The sequence below is a fragment of the Homo sapiens genome, chromosome 15 (assembly GCF_000001405.40).
Source record: "Homo sapiens chromosome 15, GRCh38.p14 Primary Assembly".
In the NCBI taxonomy this organism is placed as follows: Eukaryota; Metazoa; Chordata; class Mammalia; order Primates; family Hominidae; genus Homo; species Homo sapiens.
This window is the reverse complement of record NC_000015.10, coordinates 64,319,222-64,336,554: the sequence shown is the minus strand read 5'-3', so window position 1 is coordinate 64,336,554 and position 17,333 is coordinate 64,319,222. Positions and strand designations below refer to the sequence as shown.

At 40.2% G+C, this 17,333-nt stretch overlaps 1 protein-coding gene across 4 annotated transcripts in view, besides 2 other annotated features; it reads left to right on the top strand.

Moving 5' to 3' along the window:
• Window positions 1–17,333, top strand: part of CSNK1G1 (casein kinase 1 gamma 1) — a 190,649-nt gene that overhangs the window by 19,619 nt on the left and 153,697 nt on the right. The gene's annotated exons all lie outside the window — the stretch shown is intronic.
• Window positions 8,744–9,603: an enhancer, noted in NCBI's record as "OCT4-H3K27ac-H3K4me1 hESC enhancer chr15:64619151-64620010 (GRCh37/hg19 assembly coordinates)". NCBI's record gives its function as "activates a minimal SCP1, AML or CMV promoter by ChIP-STARR-seq in primed H9 embryonic stem cells {active_cell/tissue: H9 hESC(primed)}" and the evidence as "EXISTENCE:reporter gene assay evidence [ECO:0000049][PMID:30033119]".
• Window positions 9,604–10,464: an enhancer, noted in NCBI's record as "OCT4-H3K27ac-H3K4me1 hESC enhancer chr15:64618290-64619150 (GRCh37/hg19 assembly coordinates)". NCBI's record gives its function as "activates a minimal SCP1, AML or CMV promoter by ChIP-STARR-seq in primed H9 embryonic stem cells {active_cell/tissue: H9 hESC(primed)}" and the evidence as "EXISTENCE:reporter gene assay evidence [ECO:0000049][PMID:30033119]".

Below are 17,333 nucleotides of genomic sequence, written 5' to 3'. Positions count from 1 at the left end.
AACTCCTGGGCTCAAAGTGATCCTCCCACCTCAGTCTCTTGAGTAGCTGGGATTATAGGCACATAGCACAGGACCTGCCAAAATTATTATTTAAATTTATCAATTAAGCATGTTCAGTGACATAGGTAAGTATTGAGTGCAGGTAGCATTTATGCTGACTTCAGTAGAATTCCTGGGCTTTAAAACAAATAAGAAAGGAAGAAAGGAAGTATGTAGAGTGTGGCTTATACACTTTGAGGACATTGTGGTTTTGCTTTGTAATTTTCTTGTGAATAGAATAAGGAGTGAAATGAGAGAGATCGAATCTAGTTAATCAAGATAATTTGTCAAGTAAATTTCAGTTACTTGAAAACAGTCAATTCAATTTTACATTTGTTTACTCTGTTTTGGGCATGGTGCTTTGAACGGTTTAGGTACGTAAGTCAGAGAGCAGTCCCTAGTCGCATAGAGTTCCATAGAATAGTTTGGTAGGCAGATAGGTAAAAAATAGCCACATAAATCGATAGATGGATATATGAATTAAGATGAATATTATTCATTCATGCTCCATAAATTTATTGAGCAACTGTTATACTATGTGTTAGGCCTAGTGTAGGTACTGGGGGTATAGTGACAAACAGGAAATATTTGTGCTTGCATTGAAAAAGATTACTGGGATGTTGCAGGTAAATTTTATTTTCTCCTTATTCTTAGGTTTTTGAAATGAAATGACTAGGACAATACAGGAACAACAGCAAGAATTTGTTGACTTTCATCCTTAGAGAACTCAAGTGAGGATGTAGCTTGTATGACAGTCTAGTATTTTCTTGATCAACAGAAAAGGTTGAAATTCTAATTGTTTCCATCAACATTAGAATGATTCTTTACTACTAAGCTTGTGATAGGGTTTTTAAAAAATAATAATTGTTAAAGTTGGTTATTAAAGCTTAAAATTCAAATCATCAATCACAAAGTAAATATTCATGAAAGAAATATACTGATTCTTTAGGAGGTAGATAGTGATGAGGCAGTTAATGGAAAAATCAAGTCAGTAATTTCTTGGGACAATCATCAAGGCTGCCTTTTTGTGTTTCTATAGGCAGTCATGGTGACTGACTTTGTTACCAAAGTGCAGTTATTAAAGCCCTTATTTTTTTTAAGGAAAAGTATAACAATTGAAAGAAAAATGAGGATCAGGACCTTTGTGGTACTTTATTTTTATGCCAGTAAGAAGTGTCTGTGGCTCCTCAATACTGGCTTCATCTTGATTGTTTTATTATTTATTTTCCTTGAGTAGGGAAGGAAAGCCATCTTCTCAGATAAGGTTATGTTTTTATTGTTTTAGCCTAGCTTTGCTTAAAAAAATTTTTAGTGAGGTAGACAAAACTCTTTATCAGGTATTGAAATATGTTTTTCCTAAAAGCATGTATTAGGCTACCCTTCTCACACAGGATGTGTTCTGAAATGACAGATAGATTTGCAGCAGATTCTCATTTTCTTTGTAGATTATGTGAACTGAGCAGTACTTGCAAAATAAGTCAATAATCTGAATCTTTGTAGTAACTCTTCTGGAGTTATTAGGGAAACCAAAAATGGAAATAATATTGTGGTCTCTAAGCTTACTCTAAATTAGGTAGTTATAGAAGTACACTTTTTGGTGAAGGTAAGTTTAACTGCTGTCATCTGTTAGATAAAACAGGGGTCCTGAAGCTCTGGGCCACAGACCAGTAGTGGTCCATGGCCCTTTAGGAACCGTGCTGCATAGCAGGAAGTGAGTGGCAGGTGAGTGGCAGGTGAGTGCGTGAAGCTTCATCTGTATTTAAAGCCACTCCCCATCACTTGCATTACTGCCCGAGCGCCACCTCCTGTCAGATCAATGGCAGCATTAGATTCTCATAGGAGCGTGAACCCTGTTGTGAACTGCACGTGAGAGGGATGTAGGTTATGCACTCCTTATGAGAATCTAATGCCTGATGATTGGCCAGAGTCTCCCATCACTTGCAGAAAGGACCATCCAGTTGCAGGAAAACAAGCTCAGGGCTCCCACTGATTCTACATTATGGTGAGTTGAATAATTATTTCATTGCATAGTACAATGTAATAATAATGGAAATTAAGTGCATAATAAATGTAGTGTGCTTGAATCATCCCTAAACCATTCCCCCCTGCCCTCCACCCCCAGTCTGTGGAAAAATTGTCTTCTGTAAAACTGGTCCTTGTGCCAAAAAGGTTGAGGACTGCTGAGATAAAAGATTTTAGGCTGGGCACGGTGGCTCACTCCTGTAATCCCAGCACTTTGGCAGGCTGAGGCAGGCATATCACTTAAGGTCAGGAGTTCAAGACCAGCCTGGCCAACATGGTGAAACACCATCTCTACTGAAATACAAAAAAATTAGCTGGGCGTGGTGGTCAGTGCATGCCTGTAATGAATGATTCATGTGGTAATGAGAAGACTGTATATCTTGCAGTTCTTGGGTAGAATGTTCAGTAAATATCTGTTAGGTCCATTTGTTCTCAAGTGCAGTTTAAATCCAGTGTTTCTTTGTTGACTTTGTGTCTCTAAGATCTATCTAGTGCTCGAAGATCTATCTATCTAGGGCTATCAGTGGAGTGTTGAAGTCCCCCATTATTATTGTGTTGCTGTCTCTGTCTTTTCTTAGGTCTAGTAGTAATTGTTCTATGAATCTAGATGCTCCAGAATTAGGTACATATATGTTTAAGATTGTAAAATCTTGTTAAATTGATCCTTTTATCATTGTATAATGACTTTGTCTTTTTAAACTGTTGTTTCTTTAAAGTCTGTTTTATCTGATGTAAGAACAGCTATTACTTCTTGCTTTTGGTTTCCGTTTGCATGTAGGAATCCTTAGGTGTTAGGTGAGCCTCTTGAAGACAGCAAATACTTGGTTTCCAATTTTTTATCCATTTTGCCAATTTGTACCTTTTAAGTGGCGCATTTAAGACCATTTACATTCAGCATTAATACTGAGATGTGAGGTACTGCTTTAGTCATCATGTTGATTGTTACCTAGACACTTTGTTGTCCTCATTATGTTATTTTATAGACCTTGTGAGTTTTGTGCTTTCAGGAGCTTCTATTCTGGTACATATTGACCTTTTTTTTTTTTTTTTTTTTTTTTTTGAGATGGTGTCTCACTGTGTTGCCCAGGCTGGTCTTGAACTCCTGGATTCAAGTAATCCTCCCACCTCAGCCTCCCAAAGTGCTGGGATTACAGGCATGAGCCACTGTGCCCAGCCATTGTTTCAAGATTTAGACCTCCTTTTAGCATTCCTTTTTTTTTTTTTTTTTTTTTTTTTGAGATGGAGTCTCACTCTTGTTGCTCAGTCTGGAGTGCAATGGCGCAATCTGGGCTGACTGCAACCTTGGCCTCCTGGGTTCAAGTGATTCACCTGTCTCAGCCTCCCGAGTAGCTGGCATTACAGGTGCCCGCCACCATACCTGGCTAAGTTTTGTATTTTTAGTAGAGACAGGATTTCACCATGTTGGCTAGGCTGGTCTTGAACTCCTAACCTCAGGTGATCCATCTACCTTGGCCTCCCAAAGTGCTGGGATTACAGGCATGGGCCACTGCTCCCAGCTAGTCAGGGAAATTTTCTTCAATTATTCCCTCAAATCAGTTTTCCAAACTTTCTGGTTTTTCTTTTCTCTCAGGAACACCAGTGATTCTTAGGTTTGAACATTTTACATAATCTCATTTATCTTGTGGGCTAAAAATTCTTTTAAAAAATTTTATGTAACTTTAAACATAAAAGTAAGATATTTTGCTTATATGAGCAAGAAAAATTTTAAATTATTTTTCAACTACTTTTTTTTTGTTTTTGTTTTTTTTTAAATTGTTTTGTGATTTGGGTTTTTTTATTTTATTTTATTTTATTTTTAATTATACTTTAAGTTTTAGGGTACATGTGCACATTTTGCAGGTTAGTTACATATGTATACATGTGTCATGCTGGTGCGCTGCACCCACTAACTCGTCATCTAGCATTAGGTATATCTCCCAATGCTATCCCTCCCCCCTCCCCCCACCCCATCACAGTCCCCAGAGTGTGATATTCCCCTTCCTGTGTCCATGTGATCTCATTGTTCAATTCCCACCTATGAGTGAGAATATGCGGTGTTTGGTTTTTTGTTCTTGTGATAGTTTACTGAGAATGATGGTTTCCAGTTTCATCCATGTCCCTACAAAGGACATGAACTCATCATTTTTTATGGCTGCATAGTATTCCATGATGTATATGTGCCACATTTTCTTAATCCAGTCTATCATTGTTGGACATTTGGGTTGGTTCCAAGTCTTTGCCATTGTGAATAATGCCGCAATAAACATACGTGTGCATGTGTCTTTATAGCAGCATGATTTATAGTCATTTGGGTATATACCCAGTAATGGGATGGCTGGGTCAAATGGTATTTCTAGTTCTAGATCCCTGAGGAATCGCCACACTGACTTCCACAATGGTTGAACTAGTTTACAGTCCCACCAACAGTGTAAAAGTGTTCCTATTTCTCCACATCCTCTCCAGCACCTGTTGTTTCCTGACTTTTTAATGATATTCATTCTAACTGGTGTGAGATGGTATCTCATTGTGGTTTTGATTTGCATTTCTCTGATGGCCAGTGATGATGAGCATTTTTTCATGTGTTTTTTGGCTGCATAAATGTCTTCTTTTGAGAAGTGTCTGTTCATGTCCTTCGCCCACTTTTTGATGGGGTTGTTTTTTTCTTGTAAATTTGTTTGAGTTCATTGTAGATTCTGGATATTAGCCCTTTGTCGGATGAGTAGGTTGCGAAAATTTTCTCCCATGTTGTAGGTTGCCTGTTCACTCTGATGGTAGTTTCTTTTGCTGTGCAGAAGCTCTTTAGTTTAATTAGATCCCATTTGTCAATTTTGGCTTTTGTTGCCATTGCTTTTGGTGTTTTGGACATGAAGTCCTTGCCCATGCCTATGTCCTGAATGGTAATGCCTAGGTTTTCTTCTAGGGTTTTTATGGTTTTAGGTCTAACATTTAAATCTTTAATCCATCTTGAATTGATTTTTGTATAAGGTGTAAGGAAGGGATCCAGTTTCAGCTTTCTACATATGGCTAGCCAGTTTTCCCAGCACCATTTATTAAATAGGGAATCCTTTCCCCATTGCTTGTTTTTCTCAGGTTTGTCAAAGATCAGATAGTTGTAGGTATGCGGCGTTATTTCTGAGGGCTCTGTTCTGTTCCATTGATCTATATCTCTGTTTTGGTACTAGTACCATGCTGTTTTGGTTACTGTAGCCTTGTAGTATAGTTTGAAGTCAGGTAGTGTGATGCCTCCAGCTTTGTTCTTTTGGCTTAGGATTGACTTGGCAATGCGGGCTCTTTTTTGGTTCCATATGAACTTTAAAGTAGTTTTTTCCAATTCTGTGAAGAAAGTCATTGGTAGTTTGATGGGGATGGCATTGAATCTGTAAATTACCTTGGGCAGTATGGCCATTTTCACTATATTGATTCTTCCTACCCATGAGCATGGAATGTTCTTCCATTTGTTTGTATCCTCTTTTATTTCCTTGAGCAGTGGTTTGTAGTTCTCCTTGAAGAGGTCCTTCACATCCCTTGTAAGTTGGATTCCTAGGTATTTTATTCTCTTTGAAGCAATTGTGAATGGGAGTTCACTCATGATTTGGCTCTCTGTTTGTCTGTTGTTGGTGTATAAGAATGCTTGTGATTTTTGTACATTGATTTTGTATCCTGAGACTTTGCTGAAGTTGCTTATCAGCTTAAGGAGATTTTGGGCTGAGACGATGGGGTTTTCTAGATAAACAATCATGTCGTCTGCAAACAGGGACAATTTGACTTCCTCTTTTCCTAATTGAATACCTTTTATTTCCTTCTCCTGCCTGATTGCCCTGGCCAGAACTTCCAACACTATGTTGAATAGGAGCAGTGAGAGAGGGCATCCCTGTCTTGTGCCAGTTTTCAAAGGGAATGCTTCCAGTTTTTGCCCATTCAGTATGATATTGGCTGTGGGTTTGTCATAGATAGCTCTTATTATTTTGAAATACGTCCCATCAATACCTAATTTATTGAGAGTTTTTAGCATGAAGGGTTGTTGAATTTTGTCAAAGGCCTTTTCTGCATCTATTGAGATAATCATGTGGTTTTTGTCTTTGGCTCTGTTTATATGCTGGATTGCATTTATTGCTTTGCGTATATTGAACCAGCCTTGCATCCCAGGGATGAAGCCCACTTGATCATGGTGGATAAGCTTTTTGATGTGCTGCTGGATTCGGTTTGCCAGTATTTTATTGAGGATTTTTGCATCAATGTTCATCAAGGATATTGGTCTAAAATTCTCTTTTTTGGTTGTGTCTCTGCCCGGCTTTGGTATCAGAATGATGCTGGCCTCATAAAATGAGTTAGGGAGGATTCCCTCTTTTTCTATTGATTGGAATAGTTTCAGAAGGAATGGTACCAGTTCCTCCTTGTACCTCTGGTAGAATTCGGCTGTGAATCCATCTGGTCCTGGACTCTTTTTGGTTGGTAAACTATTGATTATTGCCACAATTTCAGCTCCTGTTACTGGTCTATTCAGAGATTCAACTTCTTCCTGGTCTAGTCTTGGGAGAGTGTATGTGTCGAGGAATGTATCCATTTCTTCTAGATTTTCTAGTTTATTTGTGTAGAGGTGTTTGTAGTATTCTCTGATGGTAGTTTGTATTTCTGTGGGATCGGTGGTGATATCCCCTTTATCATTTTTTATTGTGTCTATTTGATTCTTCTCTCTTTTTTTCTTTATTAGTCTTGCTAGCGGTCTATCAATTTTGTTGATCCTTTCAAAAAACCAGCTCCTGGATTCATTGATTTTTTGAAGGGTTTTTTGTGTCTCTATTTCCTTCAGTTCTGCTCTGATTTTAGTTATTTCTTGCCTTCTGCTAGCTTTTGAATGTGTTTGCTCTTGCTTTTCTAGTTCTTTTAATTGTGATGTTAGGATGTCAATTTTGGATCTTTCCTGCTTTCTCTTGTGGGCATTTAGTGCTATAAATTTCCCTCTACACACTGCTTTGAATGCATCCCAGAGATTCTGGTATGTTGTGTCTTTGTTCTCGTTGGTTTCAAAGAACATCTTTATTTCTGCCTTCATTTCGTTATGTACCCAGTAGTCATTCAGGAGCAGGTTGTTCAGTTTCCATGTAGTTGAGTGGCTTTGAGTGAGATTCTTAATCCTGAGTTCTAGTTTGATTGCACTGTGGTCTGAGAGATAGTTTGTTGTAATTTCTGTTCTTTTACATTTGCTGAGGAGAGTTTTACTTCCAACTATGTGGTCAATTTTGGAATAGGTGTGGTGTGGTGCTGAAAAAAATGTATATTCTGTTGATTTGGGATGGAGAGTTCTGTAGATGTCTGTTAGGTCCGCTTGGTGCAGAGCTGAGTTCAATTCCTGGGTATCCTTGTTGACTTTCTGTCTCGTTGATCTGTCTAATGTTGACAGTAGGGTGTTAAAGTCTCCCATTATTAATGTGTGGGAGTCTAAGTCTCTTTGTAGGTCACTCAGGACTTGCTTTATGAATCTGGGTGCTCCTGTATTGGGTGCATATATATTTAGGATAGTTAGCTCCTCTTGTTGAATTCATCCCTTTACCATTATGTAATGGCCTTCTTTGTCTCTTTTGATCTTTGTTGGTTTAAAGTCTGTTTTATCAGAGACTAGGATTGCAACCCCTGCCTTTTTTTGTTTTCCATTTGCTTGGTAGATCTTCCTCCATCCTTTTATTTTGAGCCTATGTGTGTCTCTGCACGTGAGATGGGTTTCCTGAATACAGCACACTGATGGGTCTTGACTCTTTATCCAACTTGCCAGTCTGTGTCTTTTAATTGGAGAATTTAGTCCATTTACATTTAAAGTTAATATTGTTATGTGTGAATTTGATCCTGTCATTATGATGTTAGCTGGTGATTTTGCTCGTTAGTTGATGCAGTTTCTTCCTAGTCTCGATGGTCTTTACATTTTGGCATGATTTTGCAGCGGCTGGTACCGGTTGTTCCTTTCCATGTTTAGCGCTTCCTTCAGGAGCTCTTTTAGGGCAGGCCTGGTGGTGACAAAATCTCTCAGCATTTGCTTGTCTGTAAAGTATTTTATTTCTCCTTCACTTATGAAGCTTAGTTTGGCTGGATATGAAATTCTGGGTTGAAAATTCTTTTCTTTAAGAATGTTGAATATTGGCCCCACTCTCTTCTGGCTTGTAGGGTTTCTGCCGAGAGATCCGCTGTTAGTCTGATGGGCTTCCCTTTGAGGGTAACCCGACCTTTCTCTCTGGCTGCCCTTAACATTTTTTCCTTCATTTCAACTTTGGTGAATCTGACAATTATGTGTCTTGGAGTTGCTCTTCTCGAGGAGTATCTTTGTGGCGTTCTCTGTATTTCCTGAATCTGAACGTTGGCCTGCCTTGCTAGATTGGGGAAGTTCTCCTGTATAATATCCTGCAGAGTGTTTTCCAACTTGGTTCCATTCTCCCCATCACTTTCAGGTACACCAATCAGACGTAGATTTGGTCTTTTCACATAGTCCCATATTTCTTGGAGGCTTTGCTCATTTCTTTTTATTCTTTTTTCTCTAAACTTCCCTTCTCGCTTCATTTCATTCATTTCATCTTCCATTGCTGATACCCTTTCTTCCAGTTGATCGCATCGGCTCCTGAGGCTTCTGCATTCTTCACGTAGTTCTCGAGCCTTGGTTTTCAGCTCCATCAGCTCCTTTAAGCACTTCTCTGTATTGGTTATTCTAGTTATACATTCTTCTAAATTTTTTTCAAAGTTTTCAACTTCTTTGCCTTTGGTTTGAATGTCCTCCCGTAGCTCAGAGTAATTTGATCGTCTGAAGCCTTCTTCTCTCACCTCGTCAAAATCATTCTCCATACAGCTTTGTTCCGTTGCTGGTGAGGAACTGCGTTCCTTTGGAGGAGGAGAGGCGCTCTGCGTTTTAGAGTTTCCAGTTTTTCTGTTCTGTTTTTTCCCCATCTTTGTGGTTTTATCTACTTTTGGTCTTTGATGATGGTGATGTACAGATGGGTTTTCGGTGTGGATGTCCTTTCTGTTTGTTAGTTTTCCTTCTAACAGACAGGACCCTCAGCTGCAGGTCTGTTGGAATACCCTGCAGTGTGAGGTGTCAGTGTGCCCCTGCTGGGGAGTGCCTCCCAGTTAGGCTGCTCGGGGGTCAGGGGTCAGGGACCCACTTGAGGAGGCAGTCTGCCCGTTCTCAGATCTCCAGCTGCGTGCTGGGAGAACCACTGCTCTCTTCAAAGCTGTCAGACAGGGACATTTAAGTCTGCAGAGGTTACTGCTGTCTTTTTGTTTGTCTGTGCCGTGCCCCCAGAGGTGGAGCCTAAAGAGGCAGGCAGGCCTCCTTGAGGTGTGGTGGGCTCCACCCAGTTCGAGCTTCCCGGCTGCTTTGTTTACCTAAGCAAGCCTGGGCAATGGCGGGCGCCCCTCCCCCAGCCTCGCTGCCTCCTTGCAGTTTGATCTCAGACTGCTGTGCTAGCAATCAGCGAGATTCCGTGGGCGTAGGACCCTCCGAGCCAGGTGTGGGATATAGTCTCGTGGTGCGCCGTTTTTTAAGCCGGTCTGAAAAGCGCAATATTCGGGTGGGAGTGACCCGATTTTCCAGGTGCGTCCGTCACCCCTTTCTTTGACTCGGAAAGGGAACTCCCTGACCCCTTGCGCTTCCCAGGTGAGGCAATGCCTCGCCCTGCTTCGGCTCGCGCACGGTGCGCGCACCCACTGGCCTGCGCCCACTGTCTGGCACTCCCTAGTGAGATGAACCCGGTACCTCAGATGGAAATGCAGAAATCACCCGTCTTCTGCGTCGCTCATGCTGGAAGCTGTAGACCGGAGCTGTTCCTATTCGGCCATCTTGGCTCCTCCCCCCTACTTTTTTTTTTTTTGATACAGAGTTTCGCTCTGTCACCCAGGCTGGAGTGCAATGGCGTGATCTCAGCTCCCTGCAACCTCCACATCCCAGGTTCAAGCGATTCTCCTGCTTCGGCCTCCTGAGTGGCTGGGATTAAAGGTGCCTGCCACCATGCCCGGCTAATTGTTGTATTTTTAGTAGAGACGGAGTTTCACCATGTTGGCAAGGCTGATCTCGAACTCCTGACCTCGGGTGATCTGCGCACCTCGGCCTCTCAAAGTGCTGGGATTACAGGTGTGAAGCACCATGCCTGGCCTAAACTACTTTTTTAAATGTTAAAAATATTTTCTTGGGCCAGGCATGGTGGCTCACACTTATAATTCCAGCACTTTGGGAGGCTGAGGTAGGTGGATCACTTGAGGCCAAGAGTTCGAGACTGGCCTGAGCAACATGGCAAAACCCTGTCTCTACTAAAAATACAAAAATCAGCTGGGCATCATGGCACACACCTGTAGTCCCAGCCACTTAGGAAGCTGAGGCACAAGAATCACTTGAAACCTGGGAAGTCGAGGTTGCAATGAGCCAAGATTGTGCCACTTCGCTCTAGCCTGGGTGACAGAGCAGGACTCTGTTTCCAAAACTATTTCTTTTTGTAGTTCATGGCTTAAAACACTACAAAACTGAAAGCTGAGATGCAAAGGTTTTTATTCACATTTAATGAGGTAAAGTGTGATGTAATATAAGATATGACATGATGTGGGTAGCACCACTGGAATCAGGGCAGATATGAGTTTGAACTAACTCTCTGTCTCTCTGTCCGTCTCTGTCTCTGCCATTTCTTAGCTGTGTAGTATTAGGCCAATTACTTACCCTCTCTAATCTTTTCTTTTATGTAAAGTGATAATAATCATACCTCTTTCATAGGATAGTTATTAAGATAGTCCAAGTGAAGTGTCTTGCATAGTGCCTGGTATGCAGTAGGCACTTAAAAGATGCTTGTCTTATTACTGTAAAAATTTAGAGATGTGATTTAAGGCCTAAAGTTATAATAGTTAAAGGTAGTTATAATTATGGAGCTTTTAAAACCTTTATTTAAAGTAGTTGTGAATCTACTTCTCTGCTATTTGAGTAAATTTGTTATAGAAATGATTATATAATTTTTTGTGATTCTGGGGCTATGAGTTTCTCTTGGTATGAAGTAAGTAAGCCATTATAATATGAGAATAAGGCAGTACTAACAGCTATCAGGATATGTGCATTGTCTTTTAGGCAAGCTCACCACCTGTATACCTTCTCCAATTAATAGAATTTGGAGTTGTTTTTACTGAAAATAATGAAAGATGAGTCTGAAAGCTGAGCATATACATTTGTAGAATTCAAACGGATGCCTGCTATGCTGCTTATGAGTGAGATAATGTAACTGTAGCTATATCCCAGTGAAGGTAAAATATCACTAACAACCACTTGAAATTGTGTTGCTCCATTCTCCTTAAAATATACTTCTATTACTGTGTAGCTGTAGGGGATGATTATAGGAAAAAGTGTCCACTACCCAGATGTCACAAATACTGAAAACAACAAAAGAATTCTTTATTAAATCCTGTATTAATCAAGTTCTCATGATTCAGATGCTTTTTACATGTTCAATAGTTACCCTGCTAACACATATTACAGAGTATCAGACTGTATGGTAATAATTTCACTGTACAATACAAGCTAATTTAGTAGGATTCTATTGATGTATTCAAAACTTGAATATTTTACATGAAAATGTACTTATTCCCTAAAAGAATAAATTTTCTTATAATACCATGTGCATTTGTTGCACAGTCAGCAGTGACTCTTAAGAACCATTAAAGAAATTTCATGGAGTTCCTTTATAATTAGGCAACAAGAATATGTGGTCCTAGGGTGTATTAGTCAGGGTTCTCTAGAAGGACAGAACTAATAGAATATATGTATATATGAAGGGGAGTTCATTAAGCCGAATTGACTCACACAGTCACAAGGTGAAGACTCACCATAGGCCATCTGCAAACTGAGGAGCAGGGAAGCCAGTCTGAGTCCCAAAACCTCAAAAGTAGGGAAGCAGACAGTGCAGCCTCCAGTCTGTGGCCGAAGGCCTGAGAGCCTCTGGCAAACCACTGGTGTAAGTCCAAGAGACCAAAAGCTGAAGAACTTGAAGTCAGATGTTCTTCGAGGGTAGGAAGCATCCAGCATGGGAGATAGATGAAAACTGGAAGACTCAGCAAGGCTGCTCTTTTGTCTTCTTCTGCCTGCTTTATTCTAGCCATTTTGGCAGCTGATTAGATGGTACCACCCAGATTAAGGGTGGGTCTGCCTCTCCCAGGCCACTGACTCAAATCTTAATCTTCTTTGGCAATACCCTCACAGAAACACCCAGGAACATTACTTTGCATCCTTCAGTCCAATCAAGTTGACACTCAGTATTAACCATCGCACAGGACAATCATATGCTTCGGTATTTATAGGTTTGGGTAATCAGTGTAGTGTTTATAAATACATAGTAGTGTAAGTCAGGGGCTTTTGAGTCAGGATGTCAAGTATCTACCTGACAAAAGTGTCAAAGCCTCTACTGCTTTCTAGTTTTGTTACGCATCTTACTTGGTTTCCTCATCTGTGAAGTGAGAATTATAGTAACAGTATTACTATCCATAAGGTAGTGGAAGGATTTAATGAATTAATATATTTAAATCATTTAAAGTGTACCTGGTGCATAAAGGCCCAATAAGGTTTAGATGGTGTAGTTGTTACTGTTCTACAATGTGACATGTCTTAAAGCAAACTATTTTTATAGAACAGTAAAATCAGCTGGGAAAAGAGAGGCTTTGTTTTAAGAACACTAGTATTCCTTTTGCATTTCCACATAGCTATAGAGTGAGAAGATAAGGGGATAATGGCGTTTTGAAGGAAGGAGGGGAGTAAATATAACTTTAAAGATTTTAATTGGATGGGTGAAATTGTTTATATGTTTTAAGTATAGTCAGTAATTGGCCAGGCACAGTGGTTCATACCTGTAATCCCAGCACTTTGGGAGGCCGAGGCGGGTGGATCACCTGAGGTCAGGAGTTTGAGACCAGCCTGACCAACATGGAGAAACCCCATGTCTACTAAAAATACAAAATTAGCTGGGCGTGGTGGCACATGCCTGTAATCGCAGCTACTAGGGAGGCTGAGGCAGGAGAATCGCTTGTACCCAGGAGGCAGAGGTTGCAGTGAGCCGAGATTGCGCCATTGCACTCCAGTCTGGGCAACAAAAGTGAAACTCTGTCTCAAAGAAAAAAAAAAAAGTATAGTCAGTAATTAAATAATTTTTTGAGACTGGACAAAAGTTAAATAAAAGTAAGCTAGTAATTATATTCAATGTCATAGCAGATTTTAAACCACAGCTTTTCAGGTTGCCAGTAAATACCACACAAAAGCAAGAGGAGGCTGGTTGTGCTAGCTTACACTTGTAATCCTAGCACTTTGCGAGGCCAAGGCAGGAGGATCACTTGAGGCCAGGAGTTCAAGACCAGCCTGGGCAACATACTAAGACTCCATTTTTTAAAAAGAAAAAAGGAAAAATTAGCCCAGCATAGTGGCGTGAGCCTGTAGTCCTAGGTACTCAGGGGGCTGAGACATGAGGATTGCTTGAGCCCAGGAGGTTGAAGCTACAGTGAGATGATTGTGCCACTGCACTCCAGCCTGGGCAACAGAGCGAGGAAAAAAAAAAACAACCCAAAAACAAAACGAGGAATGTAAAAGTGCAGTGCATTTTACAATGTTATGATTAAAGTGAACTCTATCTTAAATTTTATAATAACTGACTTTATTTTACTTACTTATTTAGTTTTTGAGATAGGATCTCCTCTGTCACCCAGGCTGGAATGTAGTGCTCACTCCAGGCTCTGCCTCCTGGACTTAAGTGATCATCCCACTTCAGCCTCCTGAGTAGCTGGGACTACAGATGCGCACTACCATGTCTGGCTAATTTTTGTATTGTTTAATTAATTTATTTTTTTGCTAGAGACAGGGTTTCACCATGTTGCCCAGGCTGGTCTTGAATTACTGGGCTCAAGGGATCAACCCATCTTGGCCTCCCAAAGTGCTGGGATTACAGGCATGAGCCACCATGCCTGGCCTGTACTAAATGAGATTAAAAACTTGCTTTGGGCCAGACATGGCGGCTCATGCTGGTAATACCAGCACTTTGGGAAGTCAAGGCGGGAGGATTGCTTGAGCCCAGGAGTTCGAGACCAGCCTGGGCAATGTAGTAAGACCTTGGGCAATGTAGTAAGACCGTGTCTGTATTTAAAAAAAAAAGAGAGAGAAAAGAAAACTTGTTTTGCTTGCATGTACCAATTGAGAGTATAGTATGTGCTTCAAAGGAAAAAGGTTTAACTGTTGAACAGCTTTAGGAGAAATAACCAAATTGCTTTGTGGGTATTTCATGCACAAAACTAGGAAAGAGAAATGAATATGGGAGGATTCAAGTTACAATAAGACTTTATGCTCCATGAGAGGAAGATATTACATATTACAGAATATTGATTTCAGAAGGCAAAAGATATTTACTACTTATGCTCCATGAGAGGAAGATATTACATATTACAGAATATTGATTTCAGAAGGCAAAAGATATTTACTACTTAGAGTAATTTAGTTAAGAAAAAAGAAAAAATACAGTAAAATGTTAGATAAGATCCAATTAGAGCCTACCAGGCACTCTTGTGAGGTTTGTTACTGCCTTCTGTGGTTTATCAGTAGCTTAGCGGGAACTATAGAAAAATAATTCAGGCTTTATGTCCCAAATCATAACTGTAACTCCCTCCATTCTTCTCCACTTTCAGTAGGTGGAGGAAAGTCTTACTCAGGGAAAATTTAACAATATGGTCATTTCATAATTAGAAAACTTTATTAATACTGGTGTTAGGTGTTTGACCAGACACTTTTAAATTTACCGTGTTCATGGCTTCCTTAATTGAGTACAATATCAGAAGCAGCTGTCTTCATATTAGCCAATAGCCCATAGATCTTTAGTAATTTTGTGCATGATATATTATGGCCATTTCTCTTTATATTATAAAACTGTCATAGAAATGCTTTAATTAGGCTGGGTGCGATGGCTGGTGCCTGTAATCCCAGCCCTTTGGGAGGTTGAAGCAGGAGGATCGCTTGAATCCAAGAGTTTGAAACCAGCCTGGGCAAACATAGCACAACCTAGTCTCTTCCCCCACCAAAAAATAGAAAAATTAGCTGGGCATGGTGGTATGTGTCTGTGGTCCCATCTGCGGGGAAAGCTGAGGTGGGAGGATTGCTTGAGCCCAGGAGGTTGAAGCTCCAGTGAGCCATGACTGCACTGCTGCACTCCAGCCTGGGCAACAGAGCAAGTCCCTATCTCCAAAAAAAAAAAAAAGGAAAAAAAGAAAAAAAATGCTTTTTTTTATTTCAGTGGGTAATAAGCTGTTATTTTGTGTGATGCTCATTTCCTTAAATAATACATTAAATTGTTATTTTTTGCATTTGAAATTGAAAAATGGGAATTTTTCTCTTGAATAAGAAACAGAAATGAATTAAACTTATTACCAATAGTAATCATACTATTCTGAATTTCTCTATAGAGAGCATTATAAATATCTCATACTTTTGCTTTTATATTACGAATTTGTATTGTAGGGTGAAAAAGATACTTTTTAATCTTAAACAGGATATTTTCCTTTGTGTTTTGTGAATTCCCACCCTTGTTTTTGGCAATGTAGATCACTTACGCTAAAGATTTAAAAAGCCATATTTCACTTTAAGAACTTGAGACCAGAGGTTACAAACTGGTGGTGTGGACAGTATTTAAAAATTTTAAAAAATTAATTGCGAACATATAAAAACTGGGAGATTTTATTAAAATTTCAGTGTTAAGCAACTTCTGAAAACTCAGAGCTGGCCACATTGCATGGGACCCGTATTCTTTTTTTTCTTTTTTCTTTTTTTTTTTTTTTTTTGTGATGGAGCCTTGTTCTGTCACCCAGGCTGGAGTACATTGACACGATCTCAGCTCACTGCAACCTCCACTTCCTGGGCTCAAGCGATTCTCCCGCCTCAGCCTCCCAAGTAGCTGGGATTACAGGCACTTGCCACCACGCCTAGCTAATTTTTGTATTTTTGGTAGAGACAGAATTTCCCCATGTTGGCCAGGCTGGTCTTGAACTCCTGACCTCAAGTGATCCGCCTGTCTCAGCCTCCCAAAGTGCTGGGATTACAGGCGTGAGCCACTGTGCCCGGCCCCATATTTTTATATGGCAAAATTCAACAGGAGCAGAAATAGCTGTACCTGTTAGGTGGGACACCCACTATTCACTTTGCCACTCTACACCTTCCCAGTAAAGAATCAATATCCGGTACTTCTGAGCGTTGTAACCTCTTCATTAATGCATTTGTTTTTTTGACGTGTGCCTGTTTCGGTGGAATTATCTAGAGAATAAGAAAAAGGGCCTGGTGCAGTGGCTCACTCCTGTAATCCCAGCACTTAGGGAGGCCAAGCATGTGGATCGCTTGAGCCCAACCTGAGAAACATGGTGAGACTCTGTCTCTACAAAAACTAAACAAAAATTAGCCAGATGTCATGGTGCTCACTTGTTGTACCAGCTACTCAGGAGGCTGAGGTGGGAGGATTGCTTGAGCCCAGAAGGTTGAGGCATCACTGCACTCTAACCTGGGTAGCAGAGTGAGACCCTGTCTCAAAAAAAAAAAAAAAAAAAAAAAAGCCCTGATCTACTTAGGCAGTCATTTATTTTATACAAGCAGTATTTTTCTTTTATGCTTTATTCAAAATAAAGGTGTTACATTTTGTGTCTGTAACACGAATACAGGGGGTGAAGCATGATAGCGGATTGCCTGAGCTCAGGAGTTTAAGACCAGCCTGGGCAACACGGTGAAACCTCGTCTCTACTAAAACACACACACACAAAATTAGCCGGGCATGGCGGCATGCGCCTGTAATCCCAACTACTCAGGAGGCTAAGGCAGGAGGATTGCTTGAACCTGGGAGGCAGAGGTTGCAGTGAGCGAGATCGTGCCACTGCACTCCAGCCTGGGCAACAGAGGGAGACTCCATCTCAAAACAAAACAAAACAAATTCAACGAACTGAAATAAGCTTATAATAATTTAAAATTCAGGCAAGTATTGCTTCCATAAAGCAATCACCTCAAGAAAGCACTTACTCTAAAAGTGCTACTCAAAGCATTTTTGGAAAAAAAAAAAAGGTATATTTCCTTTGAATAGTCTCAGGATGCCTGATATCCTTTGAGAGTAGATGCGTTTTAATAATAGTAATACATGTAATTTGACAAGAAAATCAAATGGGACAAATTTTATTAAGTAGTGAGAAACCAGCTCAAAGTCTAACATGTGAGACTCTGGATGATACCAGGTTTTATCCAGCATCACAGTAAATTTGAA